At 44.4% G+C, this 27,378-nt stretch overlaps 1 protein-coding gene and 1 pseudogene across 1 annotated transcript in view, besides 3 other annotated features; both read left to right on the top strand.

The window, feature by feature from the left end:
- Window positions 1–27,378, top strand: part of KLHL29 (kelch like family member 29) — a 323,428-nt gene that overhangs the window by 2,748 nt on the left and 293,302 nt on the right. The window lies entirely within an intron of this gene.
- Window positions 9,252–9,751: an enhancer, noted in NCBI's record as "H3K4me1 hESC enhancer chr2:23620049-23620548 (GRCh37/hg19 assembly coordinates)". NCBI's record gives its function as "activates a minimal SCP1, AML or CMV promoter by ChIP-STARR-seq in naive H9 embryonic stem cells {active_cell/tissue: H9 hESC(naive)}" and the evidence as "EXISTENCE:reporter gene assay evidence [ECO:0000049][PMID:30033119]".
- On the top strand, window positions 10,636–11,397 carry PPIAP61 (peptidylprolyl isomerase A pseudogene 61; annotated as a pseudogene).
- Window positions 16,427–17,008: an enhancer, noted in NCBI's record as "NANOG hESC enhancer chr2:23627224-23627805 (GRCh37/hg19 assembly coordinates)". NCBI's record gives its function as "activates a minimal SCP1, AML or CMV promoter by ChIP-STARR-seq in naive H9 embryonic stem cells {active_cell/tissue: H9 hESC(naive)}" and the evidence as "EXISTENCE:reporter gene assay evidence [ECO:0000049][PMID:30033119]".
- Window positions 27,072–27,366: an enhancer, noted in NCBI's record as "tiled region #1613; K562 Activating non-DNase unmatched - State 13:Ctcf". NCBI's record gives its function as "activates a minimal TATA promoter and a strong SV40 promoter by Sharpr-MPRA in K562 cells {active_cell/tissue: K562}" and the evidence as "EXISTENCE:reporter gene assay evidence [ECO:0000049][PMID:27701403]".

The raw sequence follows: 27,378 nt of genomic DNA on the forward strand, positions 1-27,378 counted from the left end.
CATATTTGCCTGTGATTAAGAAAAACATTTTCTTCTCCTCGGTCTCTCGGTTATGGAAATTTATAGGTCTCCAACTTTCATTTGCAAGCAGCAATCCAAACGAAATACCTAGAGTTTTACTGAAATAAAATATCCTATGGTAGCCATGGTAACAAATAGATTAAGGGTTATTGGTTTTCATCTGAATGTGATGGGGGGTGGGGATCTAGTGTTGTGTCTTTTTAATTATGTTTCTAATGAGTGGTGGTCATACTTCAAGTACTCAGTGTGGGAGACAAGCAAGACTGAGAATTCAGGTTTGTGGGAGGTTTATTGAAACAAAGACTAGTAGAGCCCAGGAGAATGACTTTTGCTAACTGCAGCTCCTCATATCTAGGAACAAAATGGATAAAAACCTTTTTTTTGTTTTTCCAGTAGATGAGCATTGAGTCAGTCACTTTAAGACCGGAAAATGCATTTTGCTTATAAACTATTACCAAAGGAACCTCTAAATCCAGCCTGTTTTCTAGGAATAAACATGTTGGAAGTGTGGCGGTTGGTGTGGATTGAGTGTCACCGTTGTTATCAACACCTGTCAGTTTAAGTGAGGCACATCATTAGTCTATTCAAATCTTGCCTATTTCAGTATTCATGCATTTCCATGGTGATCCATTCATTTTTATTTAGTCAACCTTATAAATCTTTGGCATCAATTTTAGTTGTGCCATCTTTTTCCTTCTTTTATCAATTGATTTGGCTACAAACCATTCCTAGTTTAAAGTATCTCCTTCTTTTTTCCTGCTAGTTTCTAAAAGCCTACACTATTCCCAGCTACATACAGATATAAAGGAGTTAATTTTTTTTCATCAACTCAAATGGCACCCCTAATACTAATGTCATTTTTTGGCATCTCATTTGATATGTATGTGTACATGGGTTTTTTTTTTCTTTCTTTCAGCAGGCTTACTGTAAAGCTTTCTCACTTTTTGGCTGGGAGACATCAATTCAGTCCAGCAGAACTAACTAAAGTTTTTCCTTCCTTCCTCCTTTTTGCTTCCTTCCTTTTTTTCTTTCTTTCTTCTTCTTTTTTTTTTTTTTTTTTTTAAAATCCCAGTACTGTTATGGCTTAGGCATTCTTTGTGTCATCGGTTGTATCTGGCTTGGAGAGACTTCGAGACTATATTAGAGCAGGTCTGTCCTGGGGTCTTTTCTAGTAGTGGTCAAAGCCAGAAGTTTTCAGAACAGCAGAGGATTTTCCAAATACAATATATATTTAGTCACAGCATATAGTGCCCCTAGGATCATAGTAACATTGTAAGTCCACTGAACAGGCAGTTTTACTTAAATGCGAGTGATGATTTTGCTCACCCACTTTCAACTTAGCTTTCTAATGATGCAATCCCATGCTAATCACAACCCTGTATATTTCAGAAATATCAAGGCAAGCATTAGCACGCTACTGACTTATTAGGATCAGGCAAAGTAATTGGAACACTTAAGTTCAAAGTCAGATGAAGAAATGGAATTATAACCAACTTTGTGATTCTGTAATCAGTCAACTAAGTGCCTACTTGGGGATAGGAGGAGGAAGAAACATCATGAATAAGAAATCCAGCCTTTAGTTGTGCTGAATGAGGATAAACCAAGGCAGTTACTGTGTAAGAGGACTGGAGAACAAGAAATGTGTTAGTGGATGGGAGGACTGCTGGAGCCCAGGAAGTTGAGGCTGCAGTGAACAGTGATCACGCCACTGTACTGGGCAACAGAGCAAGACCTAGTCTCAGAAAAAAAAAAGGGGGGGGCGGAATATATGTTTAAACAGATAAATCATATGTTTCCCAGGCCTGTCTTAGCATCTTTCACTGTGCTAGACACATATCCACGCAAATGTTTGGAAGCTGGTAGAATATCTGTAGTTTGTGTAGAAGATAGTCAGTTTTTATTTCTTAAGTAATCTGGGGTCATCGCCTGATGTGCTAAAAAATTAGGTAGCATAATTCCTGGAATGTACTTTTGTCTGAAGTAAATTTTACCATAGAAAATGGTCTTAATTTTGGTTAACAAGGAAAGATGTATCCAAATTCTTTACCTGCACCTTAGATCAAAAATGCTGAGATCAGGACCACCCTGAAAGCAAACTCTGTGGTTCTTCCTACAACCGCCACAGGCTTACTTCTCCCACAGTAAATGCAGCCTGTACTTTCTTCAAGGAAACCACTTGAAAACAGGAAAACTGAAACTGCCAATTAAGATGAGGCAAGTTGATCACTGGAAGTAGCAACAGAGTTCTTTGTGAAATCAATTTTATCGTTTGGGAGCATTTCCACCTTTAGGGTAGAAAGGAGAAGAGTTCTCATTTTCTGTGCGAGAGGGTATCTGCATGAAATTCAAGTAGTTCAGAGACTCTCGACTGTGCAGCTGCAAATGATGACTCACAAGCTGGAACAAGAACGGCGAGCATGGTTGTAACGGCCGGGGATCTAGCGTGCGCAAAGACGACAGCCGCTAGGCCATTTACAGGCTGCCATTGGCCTCACAGGTGTCTATTGTTATGATTTGTAGGTTTTTGACATTTTAAAATCACTGATCATTTTAAGGATATATGTATGTGTATATATATATTTGTAAACAGATAATCACACATATATATACACATACATATATATAGTTATATATACACAAATATATGTTCTGTCACTTTGTTTAAACCATGGTTTAAAAACACATAAAATTTACCATCTTTACTTTTTTTTTTTTTTTTTTTGAGAAGGAGTTTCACTCTGTCACTCAGGCTGGAGTGCAATGACACAATCTTGGCTCGCTGCAACCCCTGCCTCCTGGGTTCATGAGATTCTCCTGCCTCAGCCTCCAGAGTAGCTGGGATTACAGGCGCCTGCCACCACGCCCAGCAAATTTTTTTGCATTTTTAGTAGAGACGGGGTTTCACCATGTTGGCCAGGCTGGTCTCGAACTCCTGACCTCAGGTGATCCACCCGCCTCAGCTTCCCAAAGTGCTGGGATTACAGGCATGAGCCACCTTTACCATTTTTAACTGTGCATTCGTAGCATTCACATTGTTGTGCAAGCAAGCTCCAGAACCCTTCGTCTTGCAGAACTGAAAGTCTATACCCGTTAAACATCATGTCCCCATTCCTACCTCCCTCAGCCCCTGGCATCCGCCATTCTACTTCCTGTTTATACATTCAACTACCTTAGATCCCTCAGGTGAGTGGAATCATGCCACATTCATCCTTTTGTGATGGGCTTGTTAAACTTAGCATAACGTCTTCCAGGTTTATCACATCTTGTGGCATGGGACAGGCTTTCCTTCCTTTTTAAGGTTGAATAATATTGCATTGCATGTATGGGCCACATTTTGTTTGTCCATTCATCTGTTGATGGAGATTTGGGTTGCTTCCATGTTGTAGCTACTGAGAATAACGCTGCTGTGAACAGGAGTATAAGACATCCTGTTTTCAGTGTTTCTGGGTCTATACCCAGAAGTGGAATTGCTGCTATTTTGATGTTTTCTTTGTTTTGAGACGGGGTTTTGATCTTGTTGCCCAGGCTGGAGTGCAATGGTGCAGTCTTGGCTCACTGCCACCTCTGCCTCCCGCGTTCAAGGGTTCAAGCAATTATCCTGCCTCAGCCTCCTGAGTAGCTGGGATTACAGGCACGTGCCACTATACCCGGCTGATTTTGTATTTTTAGTGGAGATGGGGTTTCTCCATGTTGGTCAGGCTGGTCTCGAACTCCCAACCTCAGGTAATTCGCCTGTCTCTGCCTCCCAAAGTTCACTCTGGGATTATAGGCATTAGCCACCGCGCCCAGCCCTATTTTGACTTTTAACACTAACAAATTATGTAAGTTTTCAATTGAAGAGACTTGGTGAGAATGCAGTCACACAGAATACTGTCCAATAAAGAATGCAGTAGATGTTACTGACATTTGTTCTTCCTTTTCTGTGTATGCATTTCCTCCCGAGTGTCTCTGATCTCATGCTTTCCTTGGGGGCTTGTCCTAGTTGCAGTGATACTGCAGAGGGATTAGAAACATGGGCTTCCTGTCCACGTTGAAGTCCCGTCTCCAGTGCTTCCTAGCTGTGTGACCTTGGAAAGATCCTTAATCTCACCCAGCCTCAGTTTTCTTTTATGAAATTGGAAGAAGCAGTAGTGGCTATCTAGGGTGGTTGTGAGGGTGAAAACAGATAACCTCCATAAACCCACATTACAGTGGCCTGGGGAAGTGCTTTGCAAAGGGGGCTTAGGAAAAGTAGCTGTGGAAGAAGAGACAGCAGCAACCCCTAGAGATCTCAGAAACTGTAGATGCCAATCCTGTTCAATTTCAATCATAAATGTTTTAGTCATACACCAGGGCATGTATATATATTATGTTCTGTAAGTCTCACTATCAGTACTTATTCTGAAAAGCATAAGACATTTGCATCACAATTCCAATAGTTAAAAATACCCTTGAGTTGATTTGATGTGTGAACTTTTAATTCCATCTTTAGTATCATAATTTTAGAGTTGATGTGGATTTTTGAGGTCAGCTAATCTACCTATTATTCAATCACCAAACCTTTATTAAGCCCCAATAATATAATAATAATAGCTTCCAGTTATGGCTGCTCACTATATCCGAGTACTTTACATATATTATCTCTAATCCTCATATCAATGCTTCGAGGTAGGGATTATCCACATTTTACAAATGAAGATGAGGCTCAGTGGTAATCAACTGGCCCAAGGCCACAAACCTAGCCACGTTGTTCAGCTGGGTTTGAACACAGATCCCTCAGCTACCAGTCTGTCTGTGTTTTCCTTTCTGCACACACACCCCTATTCGTGTGTGCACATGCGCCTATGTCTTTGTTTTTTCCCATGCATCTGCACCACTTCATACTGCCTGTACCAGGTACTGTGTTGTCTATACTAATTAACATTTTATGTAAAATCAATCTAGTAGAAGGAATGTGAGCTAAAATAACAATATTAATCAAGTCTGACCAACATGCATGATACCTTTTGGATTTGCGCACCTGCTTCCATTTACTGTGGTTTCTGGAAGGCTAATGAGAAAAACTTTTAGGTGTTTGAATGGCGTCTGTTTCCATCTTGAGCCAGCATAGTAAATAAATAGCAAATCAAAGAATAAAAACAATGTAGAAAGGGTTAAAGATTCATCTAGAACCACTAATCGCTGACCCGGGCTTGTTCATGTTTGCATACCGATGCATAGCCTGGTGCCTGGCACAAAACTCTGGTAAAAATGTTTGCCTGGAGAAGGTGTCAGATAACAGACATCAAAGCTGACTTTTTGGATGTTCTTTTCACTCCGTGGCTGTGTAGTCACATGTTCATGGTTTGTCATTGTGTGGAATTTTTGATGCTATATTTGGGCATATATCTATTAAATATGCTTATTGATGAATTGTAATCTGGATGGAATCTTCTAGGATTTATGATTTGAGACTTTGAAGACTAATTCTCTCTTGGAGCTTCATCGTTGCAGTGACAACCTGGGTCTGTCTGGCGCTTCTGAGCATCCGTGCCGTCTGTCCTCTCTCAGGGGCTTTCCTTGTGGGTTGTTGTCTCTGCTCAGATTTCAAAATTTGTAGTAGTTCACAAAAGCATCGTTTTAAGGAAAAAATGAAACACCTGGAAATCACAGAGGCACTTTGGGAAGGGCGATAACACTGTATTTTCCAACTTCTTCTGTTCTATTTTTATTCTTTATATTAGTTTTTTCTCGAGATGGGTGTGAATAGAGCCTGGAGCACACACCACAAAAATGTGTTTGCTCTGTTTTAACTCTTTCAACCTACATTCAGCCAAGGAGGGACTTCTTCAGTTTGAGATTCTCCTTGAGAAAGACGTGGTTGCAGTGCCTGGGATCTGGACCACACAGGAGGTTTGGGGTGTGGGGAGGCTGGCCCCACCTGACTGCTGGCCCGGCACTGGCACGGTCACTCCTGTGTAGCTCTGCTGCCGCCCCTCCCTTCCCCCTGGGCTTGTCTCTACCCTAGAAGTAATGTCAAGCATGAGGCTTCCTCTTCTTGAGGCTTCCCCACAAAGCTCCTAGAAGCAAGTTGGAGGTGTGGGCGGTGAGGGAAGAGCAGACAAGAGGACTCTGTGTCTCTGTTTTGTGCAAAGCATACGCCAAAGGCTTAGATCAAATTAAAGACCCAACAGCGGCCGGAACATCCCTGCTTTCCTTTTGGTCATTTAGTAACACTGAGAAGTGGTGAAGAGCGGTGAAATTGGGATTAAAAACAAAAAACAAAAACAATCTTCCCTTTCTCCTTTACCTTCACTTTTCACGTCTTCCAGCTTTAAGCATCTGCTTCTGGATCAAACCTGCAGCTAAGCTTAGCCTCCCAGGGAACTTTAAGGATATATATTCAGCTCCTGGAGCTTCTAAATGAGGGTAGATTGAATAACTGTTTACTGAGAAGGCACAGTGGGAAGAGCACTGCCTTTCCTGTGGCATCTCATTTTTGCTCACCCTGTCGCATGGGTGACTTCACAGTGGTGGTATTGCTATTCTGCAGCTGATTTAGAGAGATCCAAGCATTTGCCCAAGTTCAGATCAACAAACATGGGTGCCAGGCCTATGATGGGTGCCGGATGGGTTACAGGGAGGAAGGATCCTGTCCTCCAGACACCTGCCTACCTATGGAGAAGGAAGAGAGCCAATATTCCCTTTTCTAGGAAATATAAATTGCTTATTTGAATAAAAAAATCATATGTTTAGCCACATTGCTCACTGATTATCACAGTTGACATAGTAAGTTGAGGTCCAGCTAATTTTCTTTTAAAGTGTGAAATAAATTTAAAGAGACTCACCAGTATGATTTCAAGTACCTTCAGACTTAAATGTGCTGGCCTCATCTTTGCAAATGGAACAAAAATTCAATTCTGAATTTGCCTGCAAGGCTTAGGTGTATCTGACTCCTTTCTTTGTGGTCAGAAGGCTTCCTGGGGTGTGCTGATTTGGATCTACGAAGATTAAATACTTGAGGATTAAATGAGTTCCTGTTTGCAAAGTGCTTAGAACTGTGCTGACATATGCCAAATCGGTAACATCAATGGTTATTTCTGGACTCGTCTTGGGGATCATGGTCCTTGAAGGCAAGGACTTTGTCTTTTAGCCTTCCTTGGTCCTGGCACAGGCTGGATATTCGTTGTTCAAATACTGTGAGCTCAATGAATTGTGTTGAGGTGACAGAGGAAGGAGACAGGGCACCACATCTCACCAGGAAGTCCATGGAAATGAGTGGTCCAGTCCAGGAATTTCCCGAGAAATTCTGTGAGACAGTCCAGAGCAGAGAGAACCAAGTTGTGAATGCTGCTGTGGCCGTGACCCATGGGTCCACTGGGTTCTGCCTAACCACCTACATTGGCCGCTGCTGCTATTGATTTGTCTCTCCATCACAGTAGAGAGGGGTAGAAAATGGTGCTACTCCAGTTAAGGTCACAGATAGGTGTCTGTTTCCACACTGTTCCCAGTGTGTGCCGAGATAAATTGGGAATAAGCATTTAGAAACTACGATTGCAGGCCAGGCATGGTGGCTCACGCCTGTGATCCCAGCACTTTGGGAGGCCGAGGTGGGCGGATCATGAAGTCAGGAGTTTGAGACCAGCCTCATCAACATGGTGAAACCCGGTCTCTACCAAAGCTACAAAAATTAGCCAGGCGTGGTGGCATGCGCCTGTAATCCCAGCTACTCAGGAGGCTGAGACAGGAGAATCGCTTGAACCAGGGAGGCAGAGGTTGCAGTGAGCTGAGATCGCAACACTGCACTGTAGCCTGGGTGACAGAGTGAGACTCCGTCTCAAAAAAGGAAAGAAAAAAAAAAAAAAGAAACTCCGATTGCATTCAACACTGCCTTGGCAGCATGATCCGTGGGCTCCCCTCATTAACTAGGTACAGACCAGTTTGCATGGTCTTGGACTCTCATGGTGAGTTACCAGGAGAGCCGCCTATGGTGTGAGTGTGAGCTAATCATGCAAGGTAGGACCACATTTTCGTTCCTGACAGATTGGTGATGTAAACAAAAACCCAAAACCTGATTCTTCACCGCAGGTAGGCGTAGAGAACTGCCTGGAAGAAACCTAGCTGCAGTTGTCTTGCCAAAGCAAGACATGTCCCGTGATTTTATAACAATTGGGTCTAGAATCCCTCATCAGTGAGACCAATATTGCCACCTTTAGGTTAACAAGTGGGCTGAATTCTGTCCAACCCAGTGGTGCTCATATTAGCAGGGGCAGCAGCCTGGTCTGTCCTGCCTGGAACTCAACTGCCATTGTTGGTGGCCATAAGGAGGGCTGCATCCCCTGCGTTTAGGTGCCTCCCCAGTCGGTCTCCCTGATGCTGAGTGAGAGCCTCAGGATCTTGGCTTGGGACCCTCGTAGCCACCCACATACATCCTGAGGCCAATTTGTTGCAATGCTGCCCTGTTTTGACCTCTTGAGATTTGGGTAGCCTATTTTGCCATTGAATTAGCTTATTTGTTTTGGGTAAGTTATTTTGCCATTGACTTAGCTTATTTAGCCAATGGGAAGACATATAAGATGACCTAGCCCTGGCTTTTCAAACCAAAATTAAGGGCCGTGGAGTTTGGGAAAGGTGCATACCTCATTTGGAAGCTGGGCTGGTTGGACCAGGAGGCTGCGTGCAGTGCGCTTGTCAGGCCGATCCTTCTAGAGGAGAGCCTGCTGTAATCTCTTCGGTTCATGCTGTTCCAACCAGCTTTAATCATCAAAACCAGTGCTAATCATCAAAACTTGAATAATATACAGACTGCGAAAGGAACATATTTCTTGCCGAAGCCTCGATTTGCCAAAGGGAAGCACCTAAGCTTCCCCATCTACCCATCTATGGCAACATGTTGTAAAAATAAGAAGCACCTGGATGGCTTCATATGATGTGGGGAAACTGCCTTTTTCTACGATGATTCTCAGTTTTAAAATTTCCTCTCTTTCCCCCAAGAGGAGAAAAATGATTTTCATGGAAAGCGTGTTTCAGGGAAGTCGCTTTTTTTTCTCTGTATAAGGTCACCACCTCACTTGTGACCTTGAGGGAGGCTTCCTCCCTGGCCCCAGGTGTCTGACAAGGTCTGCTCTAGTGGCCCCTGGGTAGAGGTCTGGCAGTGCGGGGGAAGGTAGGGGAGGATTTGTGCTCTGAGACCTGGAAGGTACCTGTGACTGGGACAGAGGGAAGGTCGCAGGCAGCCGTGGAGAACCTCGTCAGGAGAGCAGCTCCTGCTGCTGCCTTGATGGGATAAAGGCACACAAACGGCCCTCCTGTGGCAGGGGCTCCAGCCCCAGTTCTAGATGAGGGCTGTAGTGATGGCCCCTGGCCCTTGCCCCTCCCCACAGGCTCTCCCTCACATCACTGAGTGAGCAGGGCTTTTCAGAGCTACGGCCCTGCTCAGGTTTTAAAATTTAAAGCTTGATTCTGCAGATACCACAATAATGCGTTTTTGTTAAGGAGGACCTCTGGGGGAGGCAGCAGGGGTGGGGTGGTCACTCACTGACTGTGAAGTCACAATTTGACAGCTGTAACTGTCTGCTGTTTTTATTCCTGGTATACCTTCCCGAATGCCTGGTCTCCGGAAACATTTTTTGATAGCTCAAATAGACACCTGGGCCAAGTATAGTCTCCTTGGTCCCAGGAAAATGGGAGGCAGTTGCCCATCAGGCCCTTATTCCTGTGCTGGGTGTGACCAGTGCTGAGATGGGGTTGGGTGGAGGATGTGAGACACTGCTGCCTGGGAACTGAGCATGCGGCAGTGAGGAGGGTGGGGCTTGGCTGTCAGGCCAGCACAGTGGCAATTAAAACGTGCTTTCAACTCAACAAACAAACACCTCCATTAAAAAATGGGCAAAGGACTTGAATAGACACCTCTCCAGAGAAGGTATACCAATGGCCAATAAGGACACAAAAAGATGCTCCACATCACTAATCATTGGGGAAATGGAAGTCAAAACCACAATAAGATACCACTTCACGTCCATTAACGTGACTATAAACAACAACAGAAAATAACAAGTGTTGGTGAGGATGTGGAGAAACTGCAACCCTTATGCACTGCTCATGAAAATGCAAATTGTGCAACCGCTATGGAAAACATTATGGCCATTCTTCAAAAAATTAAACATAGAATTATCATCTGATCCAGCAATTCTGCTTCTGAGCCTATACCCAAAAAAAGTGAAAGCTGGGACCCAAACAGATGTTCATACACTAGTGTTGCTCATAGCAACCACATTCACAATAGCCAAAAGGTAGAAGCAACCCAAGTGTCCGTCAGTGATGAATGAATAAACAAAATACACTAGATACATACAATGGAAGATGATTCAGCCTTAAAAAGGAAGGAACTTTTGACACACGCTATAGCGTGGATGAACCTTGAAGACGTTATACTAAGTGAAATAAGCCAGTCACGAAAGGACCATTACTGGAGGATTCCACTTATATGAGGTACCTAGAGTAGTATGGATTGGATTCACAGACAGAGGTAGAATGGTAGTTGCCAGGGGATGTGGGGAGAGAGTTATCGTTTAATGCGCAAAGAGTTTCAGTTTAAGAAAATGAAATGCTCTGGAGATAGATGGTGGAGAAGGTTGCAAAACAATATGCATGTAGGTTTTGCAGATGCTGCTGCCGCTGCTGGGATCCCCATACTGTCAGCCGTGGTCAACCCTGCCGTGTTCTTCGACATCGCTGTCGATAGTGAGCCCTTGGGCCATGTCTCTTTCTAGCTGTTTTCAGAGAAGGTTCCAAAGACAGCAGAAAACTTTCATGCTCTGAACTTTCATGCTTTCATGGAGAGAACGGATTTGGTTATAAGGGTTCCTGCTTTCACAGAAATATTCCAGGGTTTTATGTGTCAGGGTGGTGACTTCACATACCATAATGACACTGGTGGCAAGTCCATCTACAGGGAGAAATTTGATGATGAGAACTTCATCCTAAAGCATACAGGCCCTGGCATCTTGTCTATGGCAAATGCTGGACCCAACATGAATGGCTCCCAGTTTTTCATCTGCACTGCCAAGACTGAGTGGTTGGATGGCAAGCATGTAGTATTTGGCAAGGTGAAAGAAGGCATGAAGATTATGGAGGCCATGGAGCGCTTTGGGTCCAGGAGTGGCAAGACTAGCAAGAAGATCACCATTGCTGACTGTGGACAACTCCAATAAATTAGACTTGTGTTTTATCTTCACCACTCAGCCATTCCTTTATAGTTCAGGAGAGCATGCCTGCTCCCCATTTGCTCACAGTATCCTAGAATCTTTGTGCTGTCACTGCATTTCCCTTTGGGTTCCATGTTTTCCTTGTTCCCTTCCATGCCTAGCTGGATTGCAGAGTTAAATTTATGATTATGAAATAAAAACTAAATAGCAAAATAGTGTGCATGCACTTAATGCCACTGAACTGTACATTTAAAAATGATTAAAATGGTAAATGTTATGGCATGTATGTTTCATCACAATAAAAAAATAGATTTCCAAACATATTCCAAAGTGATTCTCCTAGTAAATTCTTTTTAAAATTCACCTAGGAAAAAAATGTGTTTTACAATTTAGCAACTCTTCTAGGGCACTTGCCGTGTTACCCGCTCTGTGCTGAGCATTGCATTGCGTTTATTTATTATTATTTTATTTGAGGTGTGATCGTTGAGAAGCAATACAATGAAATCTACAGCCTCAAGTGTTCAGTTCACTGAGTTTCAATAATTGTGAACCTGTGTAACTGCATGATGAACCTGTGTAACTTTCATCACCCCAGAAAGTTCCCTCCTGCCCTCTTCTGGTCAACCCCCATCTTCTTTCCAACCACTTTCTGATGTCAGTCATCATGGGTTTATGCCTGTTCTCGATGTTCTTGTAGACAGAAACTCACAGTGTGCACTCTTGTGTGCCCTGCTGGTCTTGCTCAGCCTGCCGTCTGCTGTTGACCTGTGCTGATGCGTGTCCCTGGAGTTAACTCTACTGCTAACTAGTACTCCATCCCATACAGTTTGTGCATCCATTCTCCTGTGGGTGGACATTGAGATGGCACTGTGGTTTGGAGACCGCTGACAGTGAGTGAAGATGTCAGCTGACCACTGGGGAGTGTCCCGGCAGAGTGAGCTTGCCACACTTCAAGTTTTCGGTGCTGGGGGTTTTGCTTTTTTGGTGACTCAGCACTAGGGACAGGAAGTGGACAGATGGCCTTAACAGGTTGACGTCCCTGAGCTGTGATAGCTGCCACACCCTTCCCCAGCTCCGACGGCCACCTGCAGATGTGATCAGATACCCAAGGGGGCTAGGGTGGAGGTGGAGGAGTAGAGCGGCCCCTGCCCCAGGCAGGGTTTGGGTGGCCTGTCCCCAGCTTGGCCTCTTCCTTTCTGGATTGAAGCCTTGAGGCTGGTTGAGATGCTCTTTAGCCACATTAAAGCCATTAGTCTGGGACTGAAGCACCACAGCTTTTCCATCTTTCCAGTGACTTGGCTCTCTCTGCTGTGACCCATTCTTGGGTGAGTTTGTAGCCTCTGAGTCCAACACTGAGGTCAGTGTCTCCTCATTTCCCCAATGCTGGGCAGTATCTTATCTCATGACATGGTGAGGCCTAATGCAGAGCCATGCAGCTGGGCACCGTGGCTCACACCTGTAATCCTAGCACTTTGGGAGGCCAAGGTGGGAGCGTTGCTTGAAACCAGGAGTTAATAAAGGTCAACTTGGGAAATATAATAGTGAGACCCCATCTCTACAAAAAAAAAAAATGTTAAATTAGCCAGATGTAGTGGTACACGCCTATAGTCCCAGCTACTTGGGAGGCAGGGGCAGAAGGATTAACCTCCTGGTTAAGGGTGCAATGAGCCAAGATTGCACCACTGCGCTCCAGCCTGAGTGCTATAGCAAGATCTTGTCTCTAAGTGGTATGGGAGGGGGAAAGCTACACCTTTGTTGCAAATAGATCTGGGCTCAAACACTAGCTGGCTACCTGGACATGATGCAATCATAGGCAAGTTAATCTCTTGGAGCGTAGCTACCTCATATGATAGCATCAAGAATACCTTTGTTGTCCCATGTCTGCCTTCATAGGCCTGTTGGAGGTGGGAGGGTAATTCCTGCCTTCCAGTAACATGGACAAATTTATCCGTGTGAAAGCCAGTTTCACCTGAGGTCAGTTTCCTCTGCTGCCCCGTTTCTGGGCAGTACCTCATGTCATGACATAGATAATGCAAGTTGAGAGTGTGTGGGTGACAACTTCAACTGTTGCTCTACAGTAGAGACCTGTGGAGACAGGACAGACTGATCAGGGTGGGCTGTGGTCACTGGGGAACCTCATGAAGCAGACAGAATTTGGGGGCCCTCCAAGAGAAAAAGTATTTATGCCGGTTTCCCTCTCTCCATTCAGAAACCGTACTCTATACACCCCCGGTCCCCACCCTAAGTCCACCAGGTCACTGACAGCTAACAATTGACCTTCACCTGGGAGAGGTAAGCTTGCAAGGCCCAGCTTGGACATGCACCTGTGATTTCTAAAGGACTTCTTCTGAATTCATCTCTGAATGAGGTTGGCGGCACTGCTATGGTGTCTGAGCCTATACAGGAGCCGAGGGCTATGTAGTCATCAGAGCCTCAGTTTAGAGGCTCACATGACAGAGACATGGAGTGTGGAGCCCATCTCAGCAAGTCAGGGCCTGACGCGTTATGCCCGCTCACATGTAGGCACAGGAGACCTGGGACAGAGGAAGCGATCTGCTCCTGCCTGAAGTAGTGGGAGGGGCAGGAAGGTGCATTGCTGAGCAGAGGGACTATCTGCTGGTCCAAGGAGCCTCTGTCCGGCTGGACTGAGGCTACCCTCAGCTTCCATCTCTCCTCTTCATTCTCTAGAAGGCTCTGCCAGGTTCAGATCCTGCCTGTCCTTTGCAGCTTTGTAGGGAGCAGTCCCCACATCTCTGAGGATTGCCTGATGCAAGTTCTCGAGGTAACTGCTTCAGGGCTGCGTGGGAGTCCCCAGCTGACTTGACCATGTGCTCCTGTGGAAAATGATCACCTCACCTTTTATTTATATTCTGTTGTTGATTTTCCTCTAAGGATCTAGGCCAGTGCTGGGCACATTTTGCACTTTCAACAGTCGAGGGGCAGAAAAAGAGAATTACCATACCTGAGGCTTGCCAGTCAGGGGCAGAGCCAGAACTGGAATCCCAGCAGCCCAGACGTGGGAAGAGCATCGAGGACCGGCAGGAGGAGGGGATGGGAGGGCCGTCTGGGTGAGGGGTCATCTAAGAGCCCAGTGCTGTTTCACACTGTCCCGGGTGGAAAATGCAAACCCTGTGGATTTTCACCCTCTCAGTGTTGACTATTGTCCTATGGAAATAAGGGTGATTTCCTAAAATGTGTGGCTCAATAAAGGATTCCTTCACCGGGGTGTGAAATGACTGTGCATCTGAATCTGAGCCAGAAAAGATAAACTTTGCTCCATTTTCCCACACACCGGATTAGAATCTTTCCAGGACACTAACCTAGTGTGTGCTTATCTAGGTCCTTGGGCCTAGGGGCCCCTGGTGAAAGCCCAGGCCATGCAATCCGAGTCCCAGCGCCCCCATCCTTCCCCCTCTCTCCCGTGGGTTTGTATCTCCCTGGCATCCCCCAGCAGACTGCTCTGCCCAGCTGTGAACTGAACAGCCTGGCTTGTCTTGGGGCAGAACCTGTCCTCACAGGTGTGTTTGGGCACTGCAGGAGGGTTGGGGAAAAGTGGTGTAAATAACCCTCCTTGCCTTTCTGCTGATGAGAAAACCATGGGAAAAATATAAAACATTTCTATGGATATTGAGAACAAAGTTTCTTCAGTGATTTCACTGTAAGTTTGGTTATTTGAGAGAATAGTTTTTAATTAATAAGGAAACTTAATTAATACATGTGTGTCCCTGATTTCTTATATATGTGTGTGTATATATATGTACATATACATATGTATCCCTGATTTCTTTAAATCTATGTATGTGTATATATCTTATATATCATATATAATCTTATATGTGTATGTATATATATCTTATATGTATATATACATATAGTTTTCACTGTAGACGTACTATACTATATATATAGTGTACACTATAATGTCAAGTATATGAAAACAAAGAACATAGATAAAAAGGCTGAAAATGTGCCATAATATTAACAGTGGTCATCTTTCTACCATAACATTTTCTGGTTTTTAAAATAATAAGCGTATTTTTCATATTGGGAAAGATAAAAATTTACCTAACAAGGCAAAAGAATTAACTATCATAGGAAAGTTAATTTTGCCATGCCCGTCCCCATCCCATAGTGAGCAGTATGTGTTTACGTCCATGCTGACATTAAGACTGATGAAAACAGAAAAAGGACAGGCCGCCATGTAGAAGAAATTTTTAAACTACCAGTTTTTAAAATGGGAAAGGAACCAAATGGTTTTGTATAATCCCATATAAAAATGTCCCTCATAATGAATCTCAGACTCACCTTAAAGGAATAATTCTCAGGATTCTCTTCCATGCTGGGGCTCCAGTAAGAGTCAAGATTTGGGGCTTTCTTAAAGCAGGCTTCAAACCTTAAAAGCATACCTTATTGAATGCCAGTGCCAGCATTCTCAAATAACTGTGCCCCCAAGTGGTCACATGTACCTGTAAATTACATGCAGCAAAAAGGTGCAATTAACCAGGTCCTGGACTGCAGAGTTTGCAATTTATTAATAATAATGATGATGAAAACAATAATACATCCAAAAGAGAAAAGAAAGGGGAAGATGAAACCCAAAGAGAGAGAGAGAGAGTGTGTGTGTGTGTGTGTGTGTGTGTGTGTGTGTGTGTGCAGGCGCAAAAGACAGGGAAGAATTTTCTCAGTGTTTATTTTTGCCATGCCTCTCCCAGAAAAAGAGCGTGTGTGCGTGTGTGTGCATATGTGTTTGCATTTGAGGAGGGAGGCCTGGCCAGAAGAGGTGGGGGGTAGCTGTGGGCAGAGCCCTCCCAAGAATTCTGGAGACTTTGCATCCTTTCTCAGGAGCAATCCTCGATGCCTTTGACTGCCTACTTCTCTGCAGCGGTGGTTCCATGATAGTCTCCTTGGCAGCCTGCCAGAGGCTGTAAGTGTACAGAGAATTGTGTTTTAATAGAAGGCTTTACCTCTGATACAGATTTAAAATGAGGAAGAAACTTTCTGTTCCTCAGCCAGAACGAAATGCGTTTTGCTTCCTGTGAAATGCTGGTGATTACAAGCTCATCTTACATAATTTTATTATTTTCAATTGCTGCCCGTCAATCTCAGGTGATGGTTCCCTGGGAGCAGAAAAAGAGGCAGATTCTGGGCGATGACTATTAAAAAAAAAATCACTCAGTCATTAGCAAATCGTACAAAAATTTAGAAAGGAGAATAATTATCTTTGTGATGATGCTGTTTAAGATAATCAGAACTTGCATTGCTAAGTTAGACACGCCGAAGTGAATTGAGGACTGTTTAATGGCCTCTTAGAAAATGTATTTTTGCTTTAACAAAGCATTGATGTTTGAGATTTAAAAAAAAGAAATCCTTTAAATCTCGTGAAGGAATTCTCTGGAATAACCACATTTTCAGAAATCCGTGACATGATCGAGGTGGTCCACTGTCACGCCCACAAGAGGGCATTTTCTCATCAACTACTGTAAAAACGATTTGTTTTCTAAAGGGAAGCTGAGAGGCCTGGGGGAAGGAGAGTGTTCTGCAGAGCAGGAAGTGGAGAGCTGCTTGCAATTGAGTTGTATGTATGCTTCCACTTAATACGTCCTGCCGAGCCTGTAAGCCAACACTTCCGGCCAGGAATCTGCCCTCTGTGTTTACCTACTCTCTTTTTATGTCTTATTCCCAGAATGACTGGGGACCAAAGGAATCCTTTGCAGGAGTTTTCTCCAGACAGACAGTTCCACATGCTAGTATATTGTCGACCCCATCCATAACTTCCATGAAACTTGAATCTCATATTTTAAGACACCTTCTCTAGGTCCAAGTTCTTTCCTTTATGTATGTTACACATATTTGTTGAGTACCTACTGTGTGTCAGCTTGAGCCAGACTCAGATCCTGTCCTCGTGGAACACACATCCTCCACAGGAAGACTTGGCATAAAAAAGGAGAACAAATACTGGAGTATGATTTAGATAATTATAAATGTTATAAGGAAAAATAACTGGGATAAGGAAAGGTAGCTATTTTAATTGGATAATTAGGCATACTTCTCTCATGCATAACAAATATTCTAATTTTGTTCAATCCATACCAATATTGTTTGGATTATAAAGGTAATACCTTTTTTTCAACTCCATTTTTTCTAAAAAAGTTAGTTATATTGTTTATTATTTTACGGACCATGAAACATGATGGAAACCGGGGAATTGAGATGTGGCCAGTTGTTAGTTTGTAAAATGACATTTAAAAATTACCATCTACTCATCACCTCATCATTTGACAAAACAATGCATGTTTTAACACCAAAAAGTAGGAAAGATGTAATCCCTGAATAGAGGGCAGTTGAATACGTTTAGTGTTTTGGAAAATTTGCTGCATTATCTGAGGTTTTCTCCTTTTCCATGGCCTATGAGAACTTCATCAGGGACTGGTTCTGGTCAGGGGCTGGCATCCAGTTCCACAGATCCTGCTGATGACATTGTCCATGCCTTCCCCAACCATGAGGACCAACAATGTTGGCACCAGTTCTGCAAGCTCAGCTCCCAACCACAACACACAAGACTCGAGCAGGAGATGGTTTGCTCCCCATCCTAGGGGTTCTAGGATACTTGGTAAGGAGCTCAGCCCAAGAGCTACAATGCCGTTGTGAGAGTTTCTGAAGCCAGGAGTCAAGGCTTTACTTTGAGCACATGGTTTTGGAGGTCAAGCAGAATGGGCTGGGCAAATCCAGGAAGGCTTCATGGGGGAAATGAATTTTGAACTTGGCCTTAAAGGATGGGTAGGTGTAAGGAAGAGGGTTGTAGGATTATAGTGGGTGATATACACATTTTTGAAAGTTAATGTGGAACAGGTTTTGGTAGTAAAAGGCAACATCCATTGTGTAAAATGTTCAGGTATAACAACAAAGTAATAATCTCTAATAAATATATTGTCTAGGCTGAGCGTGGTGGCTCACGCCTGTACTCCTACCACTTTGGGAGGCCAAGGCAGGCGGATCATTTGAGGTCAGAAGTTCGATACCAGCCTGACCAACATGATGAAACCCCGTCTCTACTAAAATACAAAAATTAATCGGGCATGGTGGCGGGCACCTGTGATCTCAGCTACTCGGGAGGCTGAGGCAGGAGAATCACTTGAACCCAGGAGGCAGAGGTTGCAGTGAGCCAAGATCACACCACTGCACTCCAGCCTGGGCGACAAAGCAAGACTCCATCTCAAAAAAAAAAAAAAAAGAAAAGAAAACACACATATTATCTAGAGATGATTGTTAATATTTTATCATATTGTCCTCCAGTCTTTTGCTTTGCATTTTCACATTAGTTGGGACCATGTTGCACATGAAATTTTGCATCTTGCTTTTTTACTTTAGTATACAACACACATTGCCTCATGTAATTGAAAATTACTCTTAAACATCACTTCCGGATGGCTTCATTTATCCCATCCTGCCTGCATGCCATTCCCATCAGATGTATTTTTTTTCCTACTGTAACTCTCTGGTGGATAGTTCTTTTTATATCATTTTGGTTCACAATTTCGGTATCACACACATCTGCCAAGGTCCAGCTCTGAGGGTAATATTGAGCCTGTCACAATATCCACCCTGGTCTCTATCTGTGCATGTCAAGTGAAGATAATATACCAACCTCATGGGGTAGATATGAGACTTATGTGAGATCATGTTTGCATAGAGTTCTAGAAATAGAATTACCAAGGTTTGATCTCTTTAAAATTATGTAACTTTTCAATTATAAAAGTAATGTTCTTTATGGAAAATTTTAACAAAAGAAAAACCATGCAAATTTCATCACCCAGAGATAAAAAAACAATTAACATTTTAGAATCTATTATTTGTCACTTTGTAGCAGAATTGGGATCGTACTATATATATCATTTTCTTTCCTGCTTTTTTTCCTCTTAACCTTGCATTGCTTCTCCCTTGTCATTATTCATTTGGAAACAATCTTAAAAGACCATGTTTCATTATATTCTGTTATATTAATGTGTCTTATTTAACTGTTTCCTTTTTGCCATTTAGATAATTCAGTAATTTGCTACTATAAATAACGTTGCAATGAAATACTGATGAACAAATCTGTGGACATTTTGGGTTACTTCTTTAGGATTAATTCCTGGAACTGTATTTACCAAGTCAGAGGTGGAGCAGCATGTGAATACTCACTTTACCCTATTCTATCCTATTATAATTTTTTTTTAATCTTAGTCTGTTAGGTAGGTGAGTAATGGTATCTCGTGGTCTCGGTTGCGTTTCCTTGATTACCAGTGGGTTGGAGCATTTGTTTCTGTGTATTGACGTACCTGTCCTCTGTTTGTCCTTCTATTTATATTCATCTTTTTTCTTATTGATTTTTAAGAGCTCTTTATGCATAAGAGGATATTAACCTTTTGGTATAATGTTGGAAATATTTTTTCAGTTTGTCATTTGAATTCTAAATTCATTTATGGTTTCTCGGTTGTATAGATGCCTTTACTTTGCTTATACGAATCATCAACGTTTTTGTTGTTCAGTGTTTCCTCTTGTTTTTAGGCTTAGAAAGCCCTTCCCCATCCTGGCTTTGGATATCTGCGCAGTTGCATTTTCTTCTAATTGTTTTGCAATTCATTTTGCAAATTCAACTTTTTATCAGGTTTTCTCATTTTGCTATAAAATATGATCGGAATTTAACTTTTTCTTAATAGTCATTTAATTCTTCCATTTGCGTTTAGTGAATGATCTTTCTGTCCTCCCTGATTTGAAATGCTACCTCTCATACATTAAATTCTTTGTTGGGTTTTTTGTTGTTGTTGTTGTTGTTGTTTTGAGACGGAGTTTCTTGTCATCCAGGCTGGAGTGCATTGGTGCGATCTTGACTCACTGCAACTCCACCTCCCGGTTCAAGTGATTCTCCTGCCTCGGCCTCCTGATAACATTAAATTCTTGTATAGACTAGAGGGTGTTTCCAGGCTGTTTATTCTGTTTCATTCAAACTTAGTTCTATACCACACTGTTTCAAATGCTGAAGTTTTCATTTTGTGTTTTAAAATCTGGTAGTACAAATCATCTTCATTATTATTATTTCCCAAAATATTTTTGGCTACTATGTCTGACATATCTTGTATAGCCCAGAGGAAATTTAGAAGCATTTCACGCTAAAAAAAAAAAAAAAAAAAAAAAAAAAAAAAAAAAAAATTGAGTTTTTTTTTTACATGATAGCCATATGAATTCGATGAGATCCGTAAATTGATTTATAAAGAATTGACATTTGGACTACATTATTGAGTCTTCTCATTCAGGAATGTGCTATTCCATTTACTCTTGCTCTCTCTGTGTTTATTTGAGTTTACTTCCATATCTCTCTGTAAACATTTGTGGCTTTCTTCATGTGAGCTCTGTGCTGCTCTTAGAAACTTCATTCCTATATGTTACATATACATAGAGTGAGATCGTTCTGTCCCAACATATTTGCTAATGAGTTATTACTGGCAAATAAAAAAGCTGTTAATGTTTGTACATTGATTTTGTATCTTGCTGGGTTACTGAACTTTCTGATGGATGGAACTCTTTTTAAGGCCTTCAAACATGTTGAATATTGTACTAAAAGATTGTCTGTATACCCAGGGATGTCTGGGAGAGCTTGTATTATCATTTTTAAGAAGCTTTTCTAATTTGAAGGAAAACGGCCTCTCGTTGTGTCTTCACATTGAAGTTTCTTTGTGACTCTAATCCCGAGTCCTGGTAGCATCATGTATTTGGGGCATACGGTGTTCGTGTGCAATAATCCCTCCTTGTAGGCCTCCCCTGAAGCAACAGACAACCATGACAGCTCTGATGAGCACCTTTCAGATAGGAGTTTGGGGTTCACAGCTCTGCCTTGTTGGGGGGTGTGTGAGGGGCTAATCATAAAGAATAATTTGGGAGCTAGTTCTGGACACACGTTCCCAGACTGATTGGGTAGAGCCTGTTGTTGTTGAGCTTGGGTTTAAATTCATTCACAGCCAGACAAACGTGAGTATGAAGAACCAGTCAGACATCACTTTCCCCATTGGTGATCCCTGAAGGACTTTCCATTCGCAGCACAAAGATAACCCCTTGAAGAGAGCAAAGAAGAAGAGAAAGGCTGACCAGAAATATGACCGTAATATCTAGGCACTTCACTCTCCGCAGCTGTACTGAGCTCACATTATATTGTCATCTTCTCCAGATTAAGGCCTTCTATCAGTTATGGGAAAGGCAAGGATTTCTCCTACCCTGATTCTTCCTAGCATATGGCTGGAGGTGGGGGCGGAATCTCCCCACATCCCCACACAGACGGCTTGTGAATGTTCTGATGGTGTGCGTTTCCTCCGTTGGACGAACAACTCATCTTTTACTCTTTGCTTTTTATGCCAGTTTGGGAAGGTTGTTTTTCTCCCACTTGAAAATCTTCCTCGGAAGGAATATGTTGCCATCAGCAATTCCTCTGTGTTGTAACTATCTCCTATGAAGCCAGACTGTAAGGCAGTGCGTCTTCCCTCAATAGAACCCAAGCCCATTCTTCATGGTTCAGCAAATCTCTGAGTGCCTTCTGCGTGCCAGGCACTGTGCTTGGTGTTGGAACTCGACAGGGAGCAAAACCATGCCTGGTTCTTTCCCTCAAGGAGTTTACAGTCTAGTGGGGGAGACAGATGTTTATCAGATAGTGCAAAAGGCAATAAACACTATGAAGGAAGATGGTCAGTGCCATTACAGGGAGCTCCGCCTCTTCTTGGATTCAGGGAGTAGGGGGAACTGATCTGAGATTTAAAGAAATGATAAGCTTAGCATTTAAAGGGAGGGTGAGCTGGGGAAGGAGCAGGGATGATGCATTCCAGGCAGAGGAGATACATGTGCAGGAGAGAGTATGGTGCCTTCAAGGAGATGCGAAAAGGTCAGAGAAACTGGCATTAAGAAACCAGAGGGGAGCATGGCACAGGCGGAGAGTGGAGAATTAGGAGGGAGAGGCCATGCAGGGTTTGTCTAGCCGCATAAGTATGCTGTGTCTTTATTGCAAGAGCACTGACTGGCTGACTGTTTTTAAGCAAGGGAATGGCATTCTGCAAAGACAGCCCTGGCTACCATGTGGTAAGCCACTGTGAAACACTAAGGAAGAAGAAATGGGGTACAGTTAGGAGAGGACTGCGGGAGTCCAGGAGAGAGTTGAGGGGATGGTGCATGTGGAGACAGGTAAATGGGCAGGCTGGGGTGGGGGGTTCGAGGGTGGGAAGTAAAGGAGAGGGATGTCTCAAGGTGACCCCTAGATTACTGGATGGATGTGGTGCTGTGCTGGGCACTGGGAACAGTGGAAGGGGTCAGGTATATTGGAGAAAACTGAGCTTTGTTTAGGACTGGGTGTGAGGACTCCTGAGGCATGGCAGTGGTGGCAGATAGGCAGTTATGTGTGTGGGTCTGGCTTTCACTCACAGGAGACATCAGGGCCAGAGACAGAAATTTCGAGGAATCATCCACATAAGATTCTGAGAGAAGAATCTTAGTAGTAAGGGTCAAGCTGTTGGTCCGCAGTCCTCTTCAGACCTCTTGCTGCTGCTGCTGCTTGTGACGACACTCTGACTTCCAAAGACAGTACTTCCCAGGTGTGGAGGAGGGCATTGCATTTCCTGTGTATCCTCCACCATGTGCTGGCTGAGTCAAGAATGGAGGTAATAAAAGAGACGTAAACACGGGAAACCACACGTCTAAAGCGTCCCATCTGTAAACTCTTGCTTACTCTCCAGACTCACAGGCCCCATCCTTCAGAGTGAGTCTCTTGAGTACAGAGATGGAACTTGGAAGTCTCTCCTGCTCCCTCCCTCCTCTGACCAGAGCCTTCCCTTCCTCCCCCAGCCCCTCATTTCTGAACAATGAGCCTTCAAATACCTTGCCCCTTAAATTACGTGCTTAAATTTAAGATCATTTATCTAATTATTCATGTAATAAATGTTTATTAAGCACCTGCTCTGTGCCAGGCACAGTGGCATGGATAAAGATGGTGGAGGCACAAGATGGGGTTATAATGTCGATATGACAAATGTTGAAATATAGGGATGTCCAAATCTCCTGTGAGGCCAGGTGAGGGAGGGGCAGTTCAAGGGAGTGAGAGAAGGCCTAGGGATTTGTGACATGTAGCAAAGGTTGAGGACAGGGTAGTGAGAACATTTGGGGCAGAATAAACAGATGTGTCAGAGGAAGTGTTGTGGGAATGTGAAGTAGTTCCCATGCCTGGAGTATATTGGGTATGTATGTTGCAAAAATTGTGTGTGTGTGTGTGTGTGTGTGTGTGTGTGTGTGTGTGTGTGTGGTCAAGGTAGGATGGAAGGGCGAGGTAATGGGTCATGGGGGTAGAGAGAGGGAGATGGGTTATGACCTCTAAGCTGCCAAGGTAGGTAACATCCAAATAAGGCAGGACCTCGAGAAGAGAGTTGTGAGGTCGGCCAGATTTCCTTCTGTTGTGTGTGTGCCGCAAGAGTTTTCTCAGCCTCATCCATTCCCGCTGTCGGGAGATGAGACAAAAATATCCTTATTCTTCTTGCATTGGGAAATGCAAGCTTGCACTGGAATCTTAACAGGTACTGCTGGTTCTGCCTTCTCCACTTCCCAGATGTGGGCATGGCAGCTCCCAGCATCAGTAGCATTGAAAGATTGGTTCTGAGGGTCTCCTCGGGCTCTTTTGGCAGAGTGGAGATAAGTTTCTAATCTGAGTCACTTAGGGTTCTTTGCATGGGCCCAGTCTAATAACTAAAAGCTCTCTGGAGGAGCCAGAATTTTCGTCATGGATGTTTTCTGACTCATGTTGTCATTGGAATGACTTTTAGTTCCTTTGGGCATGTCTGACTTCTACGCTTCTTAGGAAATGTAGCAAAGGTTGAGAAAAGGGTGGTGAGAGCATTTGGGGCAGAAGAAACAGATGTGTCAGAGGAAGTGTTGTGGGAATGTGAGGTGGTTTCCATGCTTGGAGTATGTCGGGTATGTATGTTGCAAAAATGTGTGTGCGTGAAGGGGGGGGGGGGGCGGTGCGGTAGAGGTAGGATGGAAGGGCCATCTCTGACCTGAGACCACTGGGCTGGACAGTTCCAGGGTTGGGGTGCTGTGGGCTTGTCGAGTGGCCAGATCACGCCTAATATCTGCTCAGGGTGTGTCAATGGTTGAGGAATTTCAGAGAACTAATACAAACAAGTTCATGCCATTGCTCTGAATTCAGGCCCCAGCAGTGTTTATGATTGCTTGACCAAGCCCTCACCAGCTCTTTCTGGAATACTCAGTCCAGTGAGAAGTGGGCACTGGGGGACAGAGAAGGAAGAGGAGAGAATCATGAGCCATGCTGGATATGCAGGTGGGCTGCAGGGCTCAAACTTGAACCAGTGCATCTAAATGGGCCAATGGTGCCTTGTGGACTGAATGTTCTCCAAGGCTTAGGAGGGGTGGGAGGACCCCAGGACCACTACCTTGAGGGAAGGAGAGAGCCTGGGACCGCTGGAGCTGGGGACAGAGCTGTGAGAACCAGAGGGAGTGGAGATTACTGTGGACAAGAAGCATCTTGGAAGGTCTTTCAAGCACCTGGGCCTGGACAAAAAAGTTCCACAGGGGTCAAAGGCAACACTGCGGAAATCCTCTGACAGACTGGGTGTAGCTGGCCAGGGTGGTCCACGGGATGCTATGAGGACCACTTGTCTCCTCCGCAAGAAGCTCGCAAAATGGGAAATGGCAGGTGTCGGCCTTGGAGGGAGATGGCTGGTTCAGCAGCGCAGGCATCCTTCTCCCTCTGCTTCTGTTTGACTGCTTCCAAGTCACCTTTCATGTTGTAAACCACTGCTTGTCACTTTGCCAAATTCCTATGCTCTTACTTAAGTGTGATTCAAGCACTAGATGTTTTTGACATTTGAAGATTACTTGGTTCTTTGGGCAATTTTCTCGTTTGCCTTCAAAAAAATGCCTGCAGTTCTCTATTTCATCCGGTGGAAAGGTGAGGCCCAGGATGCATGTAATGAACTGATGGCACTGTGAGGCACTGGGCCCGGTGAACTCGCAGGGTGTAGCTGAGATACAAGGTGTTTTCTACTAAAAGGATCAAGGCAGCTCCTCGACCTCACATTGGGGATCATTTGTACTGAAGATAATTCTTCAGCGGAGTCGTGCTGGCACTGAGTTAGCCAGATGAGCTGATCTCCATGCTGAAGCCAACCATGGGGCCAGCCATTTCCATCCTGACTGCCCACATGCTGTGTGATCCATTTTCTTTGTGGCAGAGGGCTGGTCACTGCAGACCCATGGACACGGGTGTCACCATATGGTCACTCCAGACATGGACGTGGGTTTCATAATATCATCCTTTCTACTCCACTGAGCCAGGACTGCCATCACCGGGCAGAGGTTAATTGAAAATTCATGTAACTATCCGCTCATTTATTAAGACCCACCTCCTTTTCTTCCCTCTCCCAATGCCTCTCTAATGCCAAAATGAGTCTCCACCCCTGGGGAGAGACGGGAGAAAGAACAACCTGCTCCCCACCTTGAAAGAAACCATTGACTTCATGGAAAAAACCACAGATTCATGGCCCTGCAGTGTTTGTCTTGGAATGTTTGTTCATTTTCCCATTTGTTCCCTTTGTAAGCTGTGCATCTGTCCCCACCAAGCCCGGTGCTCTGAAGGTGGCATCGATGGCCCTGAGTTTGTCCCTAGCTCCCGCCCTTCCTTTGTAATGTGTCCCTTCTTCCCCCACGGGTGCGGTGGGAGGCCCGTGCACCCTGCTGTGGGGTAAGGTGGCATCAGGCACAGAGAGAGTGACCCGGGGTTGTCTTTGGTCACTCACAAGGTAATTTCACTTGGCAAATGATTGGAAAAGAGGCTGCTGTTCTCACAGACGTCTGTGAACCCCATGCCTGAGCTTCTTAGCCCTCCTAGCTGTGCTGTTCCCCAGATGGAGTCCATTCCATTAAAGGACTGGAAAACAGAACTCTTGAAGACAGGATAAAGGATTAGGGATAATTTCATTTCAGAAGAAAGAGGCTGAGGAGGGACTTAATTGTCTTTGAAGGATCCTCCTGTGGAGGACAGAGATGAGTTGTTCTCCATCTCACTGAGCGAGAGGAGACAAAGTGGATCTCAAATGAATGTGCAAAGCTTCCTGTGAGCTGGGGCCGGCCCCCTGCAGGGAAGGTTCAGGGAGACTGGGCAGACAGAGTGGGTGGCACTAGGGGCTGTGGGGGCCGCGCAGACGGATGTGTTTGTGCGGCGGGGTGGGAGGGATGCTGTGGGAGAAAGAGATGTCTCCATCCCGTCTCAGAAAGGAAATTGTTAAAAGCAAGAAATTAACAGACAGTGAGTAGGAGAGACCCCCAGTGGCAGGGGAAGCAGGTGTGGAGTGGGTTCAGGCTGGCTGGGTCCTGCAGACTGGGTGGAAAGCATGTCAGCTGAAGTACAGAGGTCACACAGGGAGAGCAGGAGGGGCCCATGGGGCTGGAGAGCTCAATTTGAGCCTCTTTCCCCCAAAGGTATGGGGACCCACTGGAGATCCTTCAGCCAGGGAGTGACCCATGATGGGGCTTCTCATTCTGGTGTGTTATCCCTTGACAATGGGGGAAGCCACATAGCATAGCCCCAAATGCCCGTCTACAGATCCTTGCCGGTCTCAGACTGGTCTGCAGCAAACAGAGGAAAATACTGACACCATGCAGTGAGTTTTTCATAGAACTAAATGCATTGCATTTAAAGTGCTGTCCTTATTCTGAGACTGTGTTCTATCATCCAAGATTCTTTGTAGCAAGCAACAGAAACCAATCCTGGGTAATTGAAACAGAAAAGGAATTTATTAAAAGGATATTAGTCAGCCCAGAGTCTCCAGGGTAGTTGGAGAACCAGGCTCAGAGGCCACATGGCCAGGAATGACAACAGTCATACCCAGATCAGGCCCCACAAGGCCCCACAGCTGCCCTGCTGGTCAGACCTCCAGTTGGTCCAGAACAGCACCACCAAGCTTCCAAAAGTGGGTGCTGCAAATGCTGCAGTTCTGCGCTCTCCCCACTCCTATGGGTCACCAGTTTCTGATATAAAGTGTGTGTCGGTGCGTCCTGTTGGTGGAGCAAGGGAGGTAAGTGAATTTGCCATTTTCAGCTTCTATAATGCAAGACGGGCTTAGCTTCCACAGCAAGGCAGGGGCTTAGCTGTGTCTTAGCTTCCTAG

This window comes from Homo sapiens, chromosome 2 (genome assembly GCF_000001405.40).
Source record: "Homo sapiens chromosome 2, GRCh38.p14 Primary Assembly".
Lineage (NCBI taxonomy): Eukaryota > Metazoa > Chordata > Mammalia > Primates > Hominidae > Homo > Homo sapiens.